The sequence below is a fragment of the Homo sapiens genome, chromosome 11 (genome assembly GCF_000001405.40).
Source record: "Homo sapiens chromosome 11, GRCh38.p14 Primary Assembly".
NCBI lineage: Eukaryota > Metazoa > Chordata > Mammalia > Primates > Hominidae > Homo > Homo sapiens.
In genome coordinates this window covers 74,805,469-74,818,429 of record NC_000011.10, presented here as the reverse complement: position 1 = coordinate 74,818,429, position 12,961 = coordinate 74,805,469, and the positions used below count along the sequence as shown (strand labels likewise).

General features: G+C 37.9%; 1 protein-coding gene across 3 annotated transcripts in view, besides 1 other annotated feature; it reads right to left on the bottom strand.

The window, feature by feature from the left end:
- The window catches only part of RNF169 (ring finger protein 169), a 93,565-nt gene that overhangs the window by 23,984 nt on the left and 56,620 nt on the right, over positions 1 to 12,961 (bottom strand). For all 3 annotated transcript variants that reach the window (XM_011544889.4, NM_001098638.2, XM_047426707.1), the window contains exons 3-4: positions 8,100 to 8,246; positions 716 to 834 (exon numbers count right to left, since the gene is read on the bottom strand). In XM_011544889.4, the coding sequence (XP_011543191.1) occupies positions 716 to 834; positions 8,100 to 8,246 (266 nt within the window). The remainder of the gene's footprint in view (positions 1 to 715; positions 835 to 8,099; positions 8,247 to 12,961) is intronic.
- Positions 5,761 to 5,949: a silencer, noted in NCBI's record as "fragment chr11:74523526-74523714 (GRCh37/hg19 assembly coordinates)". NCBI's record gives its function as "represses an EF-1alpha promoter that drives an FKBP-Casp9 reporter gene in an ReSE screen in HepG2 liver carcinoma cells {active_cell/tissue: HepG2}" and the evidence as "EXISTENCE:reporter gene assay evidence [ECO:0000049][PMID:32094911]".

The following is a 12,961-nucleotide window of genomic DNA, read 5'->3' as shown; positions in this document are numbered from 1 at the left end:
CAGAGTGAGACACTGTCTAAAAAAAAAAGATTGTATCTTTACATCTGTATATTAAAACAGAGCACGGCATGTAGCAGCTGTTCACAAAATGTCTGTTGAATGAATGTATGCATGAGTCCTCCTTCTTTCCTCCATTTCTTCTTTGCTTCCCTTCCTTCCTCCTATCTATTCATCTTTCCTTTCCTCCACCTAGCCCTTCATTATCCTTCTAGCACCCATCATCTATCCAATTCCCTCTTCCTTTCCTTCCCAGGGCCTACAAAGTCTAAAGGATCAAGAGATTCCTTGACAAAGGTCTTAAAAACTTTTCAGTTTGCTCTCTTGAAACCTATAAAGATATATTTTAGGTCTAGGCATTGAAAAGAAAATCAGTTCTGCCCTCACTTCCTACTAAGTCCAGAGGGAGAGTCTGTGCATATTGTCAGACTGAAGAAGACTTTGTTGTTTCCTCCCAAGATAAAAGGGTCACACTTTGCAGCACAGCAATTAGCACAATCCTATCCTGAGGATATCAGAAAAGGGGTGTTACTTTTCCTGAAAAATTCAGGTCAGCCCTTTTTCCCTAGTCCATATTTGAAAACCAATTCCCACCTCTTTTCTCCCCTTCCACCTCCCCACCAAAGTAGCCACAACAAATACCTTTGCTCCCCCAGTCCCTTTTATCTCATACCCCAAAACCAAAGACCCCTGACTGAATTCAGCATCAGTCTCTTACCCTGCCAGGAAAGCTAAGGAGTAGGAGTTGTTCTTGGAAACAAATGCCGAGCGATGTGTCTGTGTCATCTGGCCTCGAGAAGGTTCTTCATTCTCTGAATCTGAGAGACGTGCAGGACACTGGCAGGGAGACAAGGGAGACAACACTGTCCATTTGGAGTTCCCAAGGCATCTACTCTAGCTATAGGTTCAAATCTCTTTCTCTATGTCGCTTCTCTGTGAGCTCCAACCTATGTTTCCAACTGCCTCCTGGAGATACCAATCTCAAATGTGGTTCAAATTCAATATATCCAAAATCAAACTCACTATATTTCTCTTCTGTAAGCCCCATCACCAACCCATCTAGAAAACTAAATGCCATCTATTTCTGTCCCTTACTTCTAATTCATAGTAACATTTGGATAGTGGCTTTAGGTACTCCAACACTTCTAAATATTTTATTTCATTTACTGTTTATGTCACTCCCATTAAAAGCAGGATGATTATCTGTCTTTTACAGATAGCAAACTGAGGCTCAGAGTAGTTAATTTTCCTAGAATTACAGGGTTAATACATGGATAAAACTAGTTCTTAAATTAAGAGCATTAGTCTCCAAATTGTCTCCATGCTATTTCCACTCTATTCTATTCTACTTCTAGAAAGTCTCTCAGATCTAACTCTTCCCATTTATATTCATGGTCATTGCCTTACCTTAGATTCTTATCATCTTTTGCCTGGACTACTGCAACAATCTACTTACTGGTCTCATTCTCTTCAGGCTTTCTTCTCTCTAATAATACCCTCCACACCATCAAGAATTATCTTTCCAGCAATCACTCCCCTGCTTAACGGCTGGTGACTTCAGGGTAAGGTCTAAATGCCTCAGCCTGATACTACAACCTTCACAAACTAGACTTAACCTTGTTTCACAGCTTTTCCCCTACCAGTTCCCACACATGGAACTCCCTGAGCTCTAGTACAACCAAACTACTTTTTACTCTCCACACGTACCACAGTCTTTCAAAACCTCTATCTACCCATTTGGATATGCTACACCCTTTGCCTAAAATTCCGTCTCTGCTCTCTGCCTATAAAATACTAATTGGCCTTTCAGAGTCATCTAAAATATCACTTTTTCTGCAAAGGCTTCCAAATTATCCTAGAGTTAGTTTTTCCATCTTGTTTATATCCATTCATTTATCGTTGTTTTACTTTGGAGTCCCTTTTTAGAGTCTTTCCAATTACATTAGAAACATCTTAGAGGTATGTCTTTAACATATAATGTAATGAAGTTTTGCCTCATTATTAAACATGAGAGTCTTTTTCTTTTAATGGATAGCAACTAATCACACTGAACTGTAGCTTCTTATTTAGGGATCTGTTCTGCTTTATGCAATGAGCCCTGTGAGAGCAAGTGACCATCTTTTTAAAAAATTTCCAATACTGTTACATAGTAGATAAATAAGAACTGTCTGCTCAGCTGATGATTAACCAATTATCTAATGATCAAATGATTATCAAAGTAAGAGTTGTAGATGTAGGCACGCAAGGCATCATATGGCTCCGAGTACCCTGCATTCCTGAAATGCTTTGTTTTTCTCTAGGCTGACAGGCACAGCGACACAATAGACTATATTTGCTAACAGCTGGCCTTTGAGAGAGATTTGAAGAATTACAATTTACAGAGAGGCCTTTCAATTTTGTAGGGTATCATTCCTCAGAGAACTCTGTTGTACAAAATATTCAATGAAGAAACTTTAATAGCACCAACCCATTATCAAATTTTATATAATATTCTCTTCTCAACTCTAGAAAAAAGATAAGCTTTGATACCAATAGACTCAATAGGGAATAATGGCAATTTCTGTCTATATAAACCTCTCTTCATAATTAAATCAGTACCAAGTAAAAAGTGTTCAAATCCTAGCTCTGTCAGCTATCACTGTCACTGTGGGTTAGTTGTTGCTTTATCTTCCTGAGCCTCAGTTTCCTCATCTGTAAAATAAAGACTACTCTACTATATAGATTGTGACAGGCCATTAAAAATACCTAGCGTACATTAACTAACAAGTAATAAGTGCTCAAAAAGATAGATTTTATTTGTATTAACTTCAAAACTATTAATCTTTTAAGAAAAATTTCCGTTTTATAACAGATATATGCCAAGTTCCTTTTTTTTTGGAGACCGAGTTTCACACTGTTGCCCAGGCTGGAGTACAGTGGCACGATCCCGGCACACTGCAACCTCCGCCTCCCGGGTTCAAGTGATTCTCCTGCCTCAGCCTCCTGAGTAGCTGGGATTACAGGTGCCCACCATCACACCCGGCTAATTTTTCTATTTTTGGTAGAGACAGGGTTTCACCATGCTGGCCAGGCTGGTCTTGAACTCCTGACCTCAAGTGATCTGCCCGCCTCGGCCTCCCAAAGTGCTGGGATTACAGGTGTGAGCCACCGCGCCCAGCGCCAAGTTCCTTTCAATTATTGCAAAATAAACTACATTACAAATATATAACTAATTGTTCAGACAAAAGCTCTCCCACCCCTCTACATTTCTATTCCCAATATTTACCCCTCATCTTTCATCTTTGATAAAAATAAGCCCCAAGGTACTATGGATTCCTAAAATGGTACAAAGCATGCATAAATTAAATCCTTGCAGTGACATCTAAAACAATGTTGTACCTAAAAAAAAGGAAAAGAAAGATAATACTCAAAGTTGGCAAGATGTGAGGAAATTAGTTTAGTACTCCTCACATACTACTGGTGGGAGCATAATAAACCTATAATAAATATAAACCTTCTGGAGGGCAACTGTAATAAACACCAAAAATGTTAAAAAGAACACTCTTTTTGACCTGGTCACTCTACTTCTAGTAATTTATTCTAAGGAACTAATAAGAAAAAAATGAGACAAATGGATTCCATCACAATGGTGTTTAAGATAGCAAAATATCAATAAAAGATTACTTAAATAAATTCTACAATCAAGAATATTATAAGACCACTGAATAATGATGTGGATTCTTTATTTACACACACAAAAACAGGCCGGGCATGGTGGCTCACACCTATAATCCCAGCACTTTGTGAGGCTGAGATGGGTGGATCACTTGAGCCCCGGAGTTCAAGACCAGCTTGGGCAACACAGTGAGACCCTGTCTCTACAAAAACAAAAACTTGAAAAAAAAACTAGTCAGGCATGTAATAGGCGCCTGTGGTCCCAGCTACTTCAGAGGCTGAAGTAAAAGGATCGCTTGAGCCCAGGGGCTTGAGGCTACAGTGAACTATGATCACACCACTACACTCCAGCCTGGGTGACACAGTGAGACCCTGTCTCAAAAAAAAAAAAAAAAAAAGGCAAGAAAGAAAGAACACCTACAATTTATTTTTTTTGTTTGTTTGTTTTTGAGACAGAGTCTCACTCTGTCACCCAGGCTGGAGTATAGTAGCATGATCTCAGCTCACTGCAACCTCCACCTCCCGGGTTCAAGCAATTCTCCTGCCTCAGCCTCCCAGCCTCCCAAGTAACTGGGACTACAGACACGTGCCACCATGGCCAGCTAACTTTTGTATTTTTTATTAGAGAAGGGGTTTTGCCATGTTGGTCAGGCTGGTCTTGAACTACTGACCTCAGGTGATCTGCCCACCTCAGCCTCCCAAAGTGCTGGGATTACGGGTGTGAGCCACCACGTCTGGCCAATACCCACAACTTAAGATGAACTAAAACAGGTTATAAAACAGCATCTAGGCCGGGCGCAGTGGCTCATGCCTGTAATCCCAGCACTTTGGGAGGCTGAGGCGGGCGGATCACGAGTTCAAGAGATCGAGACCATCCTGGCTAACATGGTGAAACGCCATCTCTACTAAAAATACAAAAGATTAACTGGGCGTGGTGGCACGTGCCTGTAGTCCCAGCTACACAGGAGGCTGAGGCAGGAGAATTGATTGAACCTGGGAGGCAGAGGTGGTAGTAAGCCGAGATCACGCCACTGTACCACTCCAGCCTGGCGACAGAGCGAGACTCCGTCTCAAAAAAGAAAAACAGTATGTATACTAGGTTACATTTTCTGAAAAGAAAAACAATATATGGTGTGTATTTATATGTTCTTAGAAATGAATGTATCTATATGTTCTATATGTTCATATGGTACATATCTATAAGGATATGTATCAAAACGTTTATAGGGCTCATTTCTAGGTTGTGGGATGACAAGTAATTTTTCCCTTTTTGTTTTCTAGTCTTTAGTATAACCATAACTGCTGTATCCAATTGTTTTCTAATAATTCGCATTATTATTGGATTAAATGTACCATAACAAATTGTAATAAATTAAACACTGTGCTCACTTTATTTCTATTCTAAAAAAATAACAGATGATAATCTGCTTCTAGAGTAAGCTCCTTCCTCCTTCCATTCAAATTTAATTTCATAAACATGTATCAGACACTTCCAATGTGCAGGGTACTACAGGAGATTTAAATGGATAAGACATTTCCTATACTCAACAAACTTACAATCTAGTAGAGAAACACAAACACAAAAAACCATGATGTAAAGGAAAATGACAGAACTCTTGTAAAAGTTACAAAGTGGGGGTTTGGGGGAGTGGCTGATAGAAGTGGAGAAACAGAAGAGGAACTCCTATAGGCTTCATGAATGTGATAGCTTTTGAACTGGACATGGAGAGATAAATAACCTTCCAACAGGTAAGCTGGATGGCATTTCAATGAGATGAAAATTGCAAGAGCAAAGACCTTGAAAAGGGAAAGCACAGTGTATGTATTTGGGGGAAAGCAAATATATACTCCTTAGAGTTTTGGGGTATAAGCAAGGATGAAAACATAAGCTAGAATCACACTGAGGGCCTAAATGTTGGGGTGAAGAGTCTTCATTTAATTTCACAAGAAAAGAGGAGTCATTAAAATTTGGGGGACAGGAGAGTGAAATGATCAGTCTCGCTCTAATCACAATAGTTTCTATATAAAAAATAATCCTTTGGTCAGCTTTCTTAAGATTCTTTTGGGTCTCAATTTGAATGTAGTCTGGCCAAACTAAATGGAATTATTTGCTCAACACTGAAAACTCTTAAATTAGAGCCATTTAAAAGTCCTCCAAAATATAAAAGCAGCCCAGGCACACTGGCATGATCATGCCTGTAATCCCACACTTTGGAAAGCTAAGGTGGGAGGATCCCTTGAGCCCAGGAGTTTGAGACCAGCCTGGGCAACATAGGGACACCCTCATCTCTACAAAATAAAAAAAGTAAAATAAAAATTGACCAGCCATGGTGGTACACAGCTGTGGTCCCACCTACTTGGGAGGCTGAGGAGAGAGAATTGCTTGACCCTGGGTGGTCGAAACTATAGTGAACCATGACTGTGCAACTGCACTCCAGCTTTGGCAACAGAGCAAGTCCCTGTCTCTAAATAAATAAACAAACAAAAAAAAACTATATAAGAAAACAGAAAAAAAGGCAAAAATCACAAAAATCTAAAACTTGACACATTCATAGGTCAGATTTTATTCAATGCATTTGTAAAACTGGCTGTTATCAAGAACAAATCAGAATTTGTACTTTCTGATTCCTTTTAAGATTAAAATTAGGTGGCTGCACTTGATTTCTATTTCAAAAATGGTAGTGGCAAATGCAAAAATAATTAGAGCAATTTCCTAGTCTTGGTATGACCTAGGAACAACAGGTTATTTCTATCAAAGGACCATAGTTAAGGGTCAGCTCTCTCTATCAAGGCTAGTTTATCCTTCTGGGTTGTTCTGCCTGAGGACCCTAATAGGGTAGAACTGTCAGGGTGAAGAGGGAGAGCCGCGGTCTTCAGAGACTACAGACCACAGCTGGAGCTACTAGTCATACAACATACTACATACACGAGACCATCATAGAGCTTATTTTTGTCTAGCTAAACTGTAGCCTCTCTAGTAGCAGTCTTTTTTGCCCTCTGTGGTTTCTAATGTTCAGAGCATTAAGAGTACACACACACTTCATGCCTGTAAACTGAATCTTTTGGAAGGTTGAAACCCTGTAAAATCTAAGTGGTTGTTTTTAATAATTAAATAATAATTATTATTATAACTAGAATCAGAAGCTGCACATGTATGTGGCACTCAGCAAACACTACTGTCCCAAGAAAGCTTAAAGAATTTCCTTTTTAAGTTCAGGAAAAACACCTTTGCAAAAATAAAACCAAGGCCGGGCAGGGGCTCACGCCTGTAATCCCAGCACTTTGGGAGGCCGAGGTGGACAGATCACTTGAACCCAGGAGTTCAAGACCAGTGTGGGCAAAATGGTAAAACCCTATCTCTACAAAAAATACAACTGGGTATAGTGGCACAAGCCTGTAGTCCCAGATACTTGGGAGGCTGAGGTAGGAGGATTGCTTGAGCCTGGGAAGCTAAGGCTGCAGTGAACCATGATCACACCCCTGCACTCCAGCCTGGGCAACAAAGCAAGACCCTGCTCCAGAAAAATAAAAATAAATAAACCCAGAAGCACAAAGAAATTAAGTAACTTGGCCGAAGTGTACAAACAGTTACAATGCTGGGACCTGTATAAGAGGTAGACTGCTGATCCAGAGATTTTTTTTTTTGCCTCCACTCTGCTATCTTGCCTGTCATTATAGATGGTAAAGCTTTATCGATTCCAGCTGACCAGAAAGACAACCTGAAATTTTAACAAGCCTGAATCACAAAATATTTTAAAAGATAGGAGTCTAAAGATGTGCTAAGTACATACATAAGCAATATATGTCCAATCCAATATGACTTACTAAAGAAATAAAACTCAATTGTGATTATCCATTTGGGTATAATTAGTGGATCCTCCAAAAGTGCTTCCTTATGTAAGTTAAATACACAACTTGCAACCTTTTCTAGTAATTTACTTGGCAAATAAGTAATGAAACAAACTCAGGCAGGATTTGGCCCAATTAGAAGTCTAATTGAATATAGACTAAGTATCTAAACCTACCTTATATCTACACTGTGCTGCTTAGGGTATTACAACAAATAAAGGAAAGTAAAATACATGCTTTAAGAAAATCTAGTTGAGGACAGAAGACAATGTACAAATCTTAAATGTCAAATAACACATAAGTCCAAATAACAACATACATATAAATCTAATCACAAGTAGTAAACTATACTAGGTTTTTCCTCTCACTCACCTGCTTTTCCCACTGTTCCTTAATCTTCCCACAAGTCTTAATATCCCATTCAAAAATTATTTTCTCAAGCTCTGGCCTGGACGTAAGTTCTTCACTACTCTTAAGCTGCACAGTCACTGACTGTTACTGGTCTCACAATTTACCAACATAGGTCTTTCAGGTCCAGGTCACCTGGGCTAACCACTGATTTTTGAGGCAGGTATCCATTAAAAAGGTGATTTACTTACACGTTCCAGATTTGTTTTCAGTACTAATGGTTCATCTCTTTTTTTCTGTTCATCCATTTTCCTTTTCCCTGTTTCTGTATCCTCTGGTAACAGCTTGTGGATTTGATCTTCAGAGGGTTTTTCCTCTTGTAACTTTTCTTCTCTCAGCTAAAAATATAAATTATGCAAACACAGTAGTTTTAGGCAACTCTAAACTTAAAAACATATTTTACTCTGTAGTTTATTAGAACAAACAGATCACATGGCAGTTTTGAGACTGTTTTTCTTATCAGCTATAGAGCCCTCTTGATTTCTAAGTAAATCTACTTTTACTTGGCTCTTGCCAAACATACTCTTCAGGGCTAAAGATTTAACTGCTCTGCATTCTTAAGCAATATGAAATCATAAAAGCTAAGATAATACACATTATCAAAAAATAAAGTATAGTCACATAGCCAAAAAGGGCTAAGCCTGAAAATCTTCCTTATTCCCATAAGCCAGATGTAACTGCATTGGACTAGAAGAAGAGCAGAGATGGCCACAGAAAGCCAGAGAAGCTGGACGAGGCCTCCTTGGCAACAAAAGAGTGACTTAACGCAGTTCTAATGTCCTACATTTTTATGCTCTTATCCTGCAGTTACAGGATAAGTCAAGATACACGGTCTACAAAGAAATTTTGTTCTAATTTTATAATAGTAGAGATGGGGTCTCACTATGTTGCCCAGGCTGGTCTTGAACTCCAGGGCTCAAGCAATCCGCCTGCCTAGGCCTCCCTAAGTGCTGGATTACAGGCATGAGCCACTGAACCTGGCTGTACAAAGAAATTTATGGCAGAGAGATATGCTCTTTATTTTGGGGAGGTGGCATGGCATTATCAAAATAGCATGGGCTTTGGAATGAAAACCTTGGTGACCGTGAGCAAAGGAAGCATCATTTGCTTGTCTTCAAAAGAGGGATAGTGCAACTTAACCTGCAGGAGTAAATGAGATAACAATATAATAGTATTTATTAACAGAGTCTTGCTGTGTACCTATAGTACATCAAGATTCCATTTCTACTTTTTTTCCTTTTTCACTGTCTAGAGTTTTAATAACATTTAAATAAGATGATGTATATCAAAGCAATTATAGGCTACTAATATTTTTAATTATTCTTAAGAAAAAAATTAAGCTAAAGAACAAATGGATATTTTTGATAGGCTGCTGCCTCAGGTTTAAAACAAAACAAAACAAACACACAAAAACAGGAAAAAAAAACCCCACAACAATAAACAACAACAAAGCCTTAGCCTTATGTTTCTGATTTCTATAGGTCTGATTTTTGTAAGCCTGAACTAATCTTTAAAATATTAGTCTAATTCATGAGGTTATGAATATGCAAAGAACACCAAACACAATGCTATGCCAGGAGGAGATTAAAATAAAAAAAAGTACCGGCAACTCTGCCCAATCCAAACAGGAACACGGAGGAAAGGAAAGCAAATCCACAGCTGGGGAGAAAACAAAACTATAGTCTACACTAACTGCCCACATAAAAGATTTAAGGTCTTCTGAAGATTTTAGATGAGAAGACCTTATTCAACAACTTGACTACAGGCTATACAAAGGGGTGGTTTACTTTTAGAGGACAGAGGAGCATAATGGTTCAAAAGAGAACAGGTTTTAGCATCATTGGAATTATCATTTACTGAACTCTACGTGTCAGGTGCTTAGCCAAGCACTATGTCTATATTATCTCACTTAAGAAAACTAAGGTTTAAGTGTTAGGTAACGTGTTTAAATTCACACTGCCATAGGCATGGGGATGGAATGCAAATCAAGGTCTATCTCAGCAGTTCTCAACCAAGAATTATTCTGCCTCCCTCCCCAACTTGCCAGAACATTCGGCAAGTCTGGAGACAATTTTGATTGTCACAACTGGGGAAGTGGAGTCTGTGTGCTACTAAACATCCTAAATGCACAGGATAGCCCCCTCCAATATATACATAAATATTGCTATTTTTAAGAAAACTAAATATTACATTTCCTGTTTTATATATCTTAGTGTTATTTTGTTTGGTGCTTAATGTTGTTAACATACTATGTTCTCTGGCTTTTCTAGTGTTTTAGAATGTATCCTTCTGCCTCCAAATAGTTTATTTTTTTCTTAATTTTATTTTTTAATAGAGTCTCAATATGTTGCCCAGGCTGGTCTCAAACTCCTGAGCTCAAATGATCCTCCTGCCTCCCAAAGTGCTGTTATCACAGGAGTCAACCACTATGCCCGGCTTCCTAATAATTTTTACTGCTGCTCTCAAAGTTTTTGACAACGCACTTGTGTTGCTGGCAAACAACATTTTCACCGCAATGCTGAGCCACTGCTAACAGACCATTAGCTAAAAATTTACAAAAGTGAAAAAAATCATGTATCCATTTAAATATTCAAATGAATCATGTTGGTGTTTTCTCAATATGGAGTTCTGTACAAGTTTTTGTTTCTTTGTTTTCATTGCTTTTGGTTGTTATTTATAAGGATTTGAGAACTTGGTCTCTAGAAGAGAGTTTTTATACTGAAAAAGACTAAGGGAGGGTGAGAAAGTAGCATTTTAAATGTGAATAAAAAATATCAATTGCTGTTGTTTGTTGAACTCTTCTATGTTCTAGGCATTAAGTTTATCAAACTTACCTCATTTAATCCTTAAGGACTCTGTTTGTATTTATTTATCATGACTATTTTATAGAGACAAAAATTAAGACTCAATGGTCTTAATTCAAATCATAGACATTAAATACTGAAGAGCCTGGATTTTAAAGCAAATCATTGACTTCAGATACCAGTTTCTCAACCTCAGCACAACTGACATGCCAGGCTCTATAATTCTTTGTTGTGAGGACCAGGGCAGTCTGAGAAGGTTTATGCATGAATACTTCTGCAAGGTGTAGAAGGACAGAGCAGCATAACCAAAAAAGACAGAGAGCCAATATAAAGTGCTGCAATAGCTGGCCCATTAGTTGGCTACAGGTATATGAAATGTATCTCAAGACTGACAGTCTGAGGTGAAAAAAAAAGGAAGCATGTATCTATTGGCTCCCACATCCCATTGACCAAAGTGTGCCCCATGGAGTGTTAAATACTCCACATTGATTGGCTTGTACAACCTGAGTAAGTCCCCATGGCAGGTACTGCAGCAGAGACAACAGAAAAGCCATAGAGCTAAAAAGCAGCAGGACCCTAAACAAGGAGATAGAATGAAGCCATCCACTACTGTAAATGAGGTCATTTTTACTGCTTCCATTTTCAGATGCTAATTACTAGAGAAAAGTTATTGACATCTGCACATTAATCTCATACTCAGCCACACTACCAGGAATACTAAGCAATTTATTTCCCGAAAAGAATCTTTACTTTTCCCTTATTAATTTCTAAAACTAAAATTTTTTAAATCAAAGCATAATATACACACAGAAAAGTATACAAATAATTAGTGTAAGACATGATAAATTATCCATTCACCACCACCAAGATCAAGAAACAGTTTATTACCAATACAGCCCTTATGCTCACCCCTCACCCAAAAGTGAGTGAACTATGGTAGAAACCATGATCCTGGCTTCTAACACCAAAAAAAATCATTTTACCTATTTCTGAATTTTATATAAGTGAAGTCTTACATGTTTACTGAATCTTTCTGCCTTCACTCAACATTCTATTTGTGATATTCATCCATGCAGGTACAAATAGTTTATTATTTCTTGTTTTGTTTTATAGTATTCTGTTGTTTGACAATAAAACAATTTAACCATCCTATTGTTGATGGATATTTAAGTAGTTTCTACTTTTGGCTATTTATAAATTGAGTGCCAAAAATATTACGGAATATGTATGCAGGTATACACACTGTTCTCTGGAGTGTATCTTAGAACAGAAACTGCTGAGTCATAAGGTACGCAGCCACAGTTTTCCAAACTGGTTGTACAGATTACACGCCTGCCTCCCCAGTGTAGAATGACAGTTGCTCCCACCCTTGCTGACACTCAGTACTATTTGTCAATTTTAGCCATTTCAATGTGTATATATTGGCACTGCATTATTTTAATTTGTATTTCTCTAATGACTAAAGATGTACAACAGCTACAACAGCTTCACATGTTTATTATGTGGAAATCCTCTTTTATGAAGTGTCTATTGATATCTTTACCCTTTTTTCTTTTAGATGTTTGTTTTTTTCCTCTAGTAATTTGTAAGAGTTCTTTATATTTTTTGGATATGAAGCAATTGTCAGGAAAAATATATGAATACATATGTACATATATCTTATATGTATGTACGTGTGTGTGTATATATATACATGTATACTTCTTCTCCCTCTCACACAGAAGCTTGACTTTCTCAGTATCTTAGTACAGCTGTCGCTCGGTATATGTAGGGGATTGGTTCCAGGACCCCGCATATACCAAAATCCATGCATACTTAAGTCTCAGAGTAGGCCCTGCAAAACCTGCCTAAATAAAAAGTCGGCCCTCTGTATCTGCAGATTTTGCATCCATGAATTCTGATTTTCAATCCGTAGGGTTGAAAAAAAAAATGTGCATATAGATAAACTCACGTAGTTCAAATCTCTCTTATTCAATGGTCAACTGTACTCTTCAGAAAACAAGAAGTATCAGGTTCTGATGCAGTTCAATTTATCAATCTTTTACCTTACGGTTAGTGCCTTTTCTATCCCATTTATAAATGTTGCTTACCCCATGGTCATCAGAATATTCTCCCATGTTATCTTTAACGAGCTTATTATTTGACCTTTCAGTCTACTTAGAATTCATTTTTTATATTAAGAATTCATTTTTTATATCATAAGACTACATATAATATGACACATATGGAATGTATAGTTCAATGAGTTT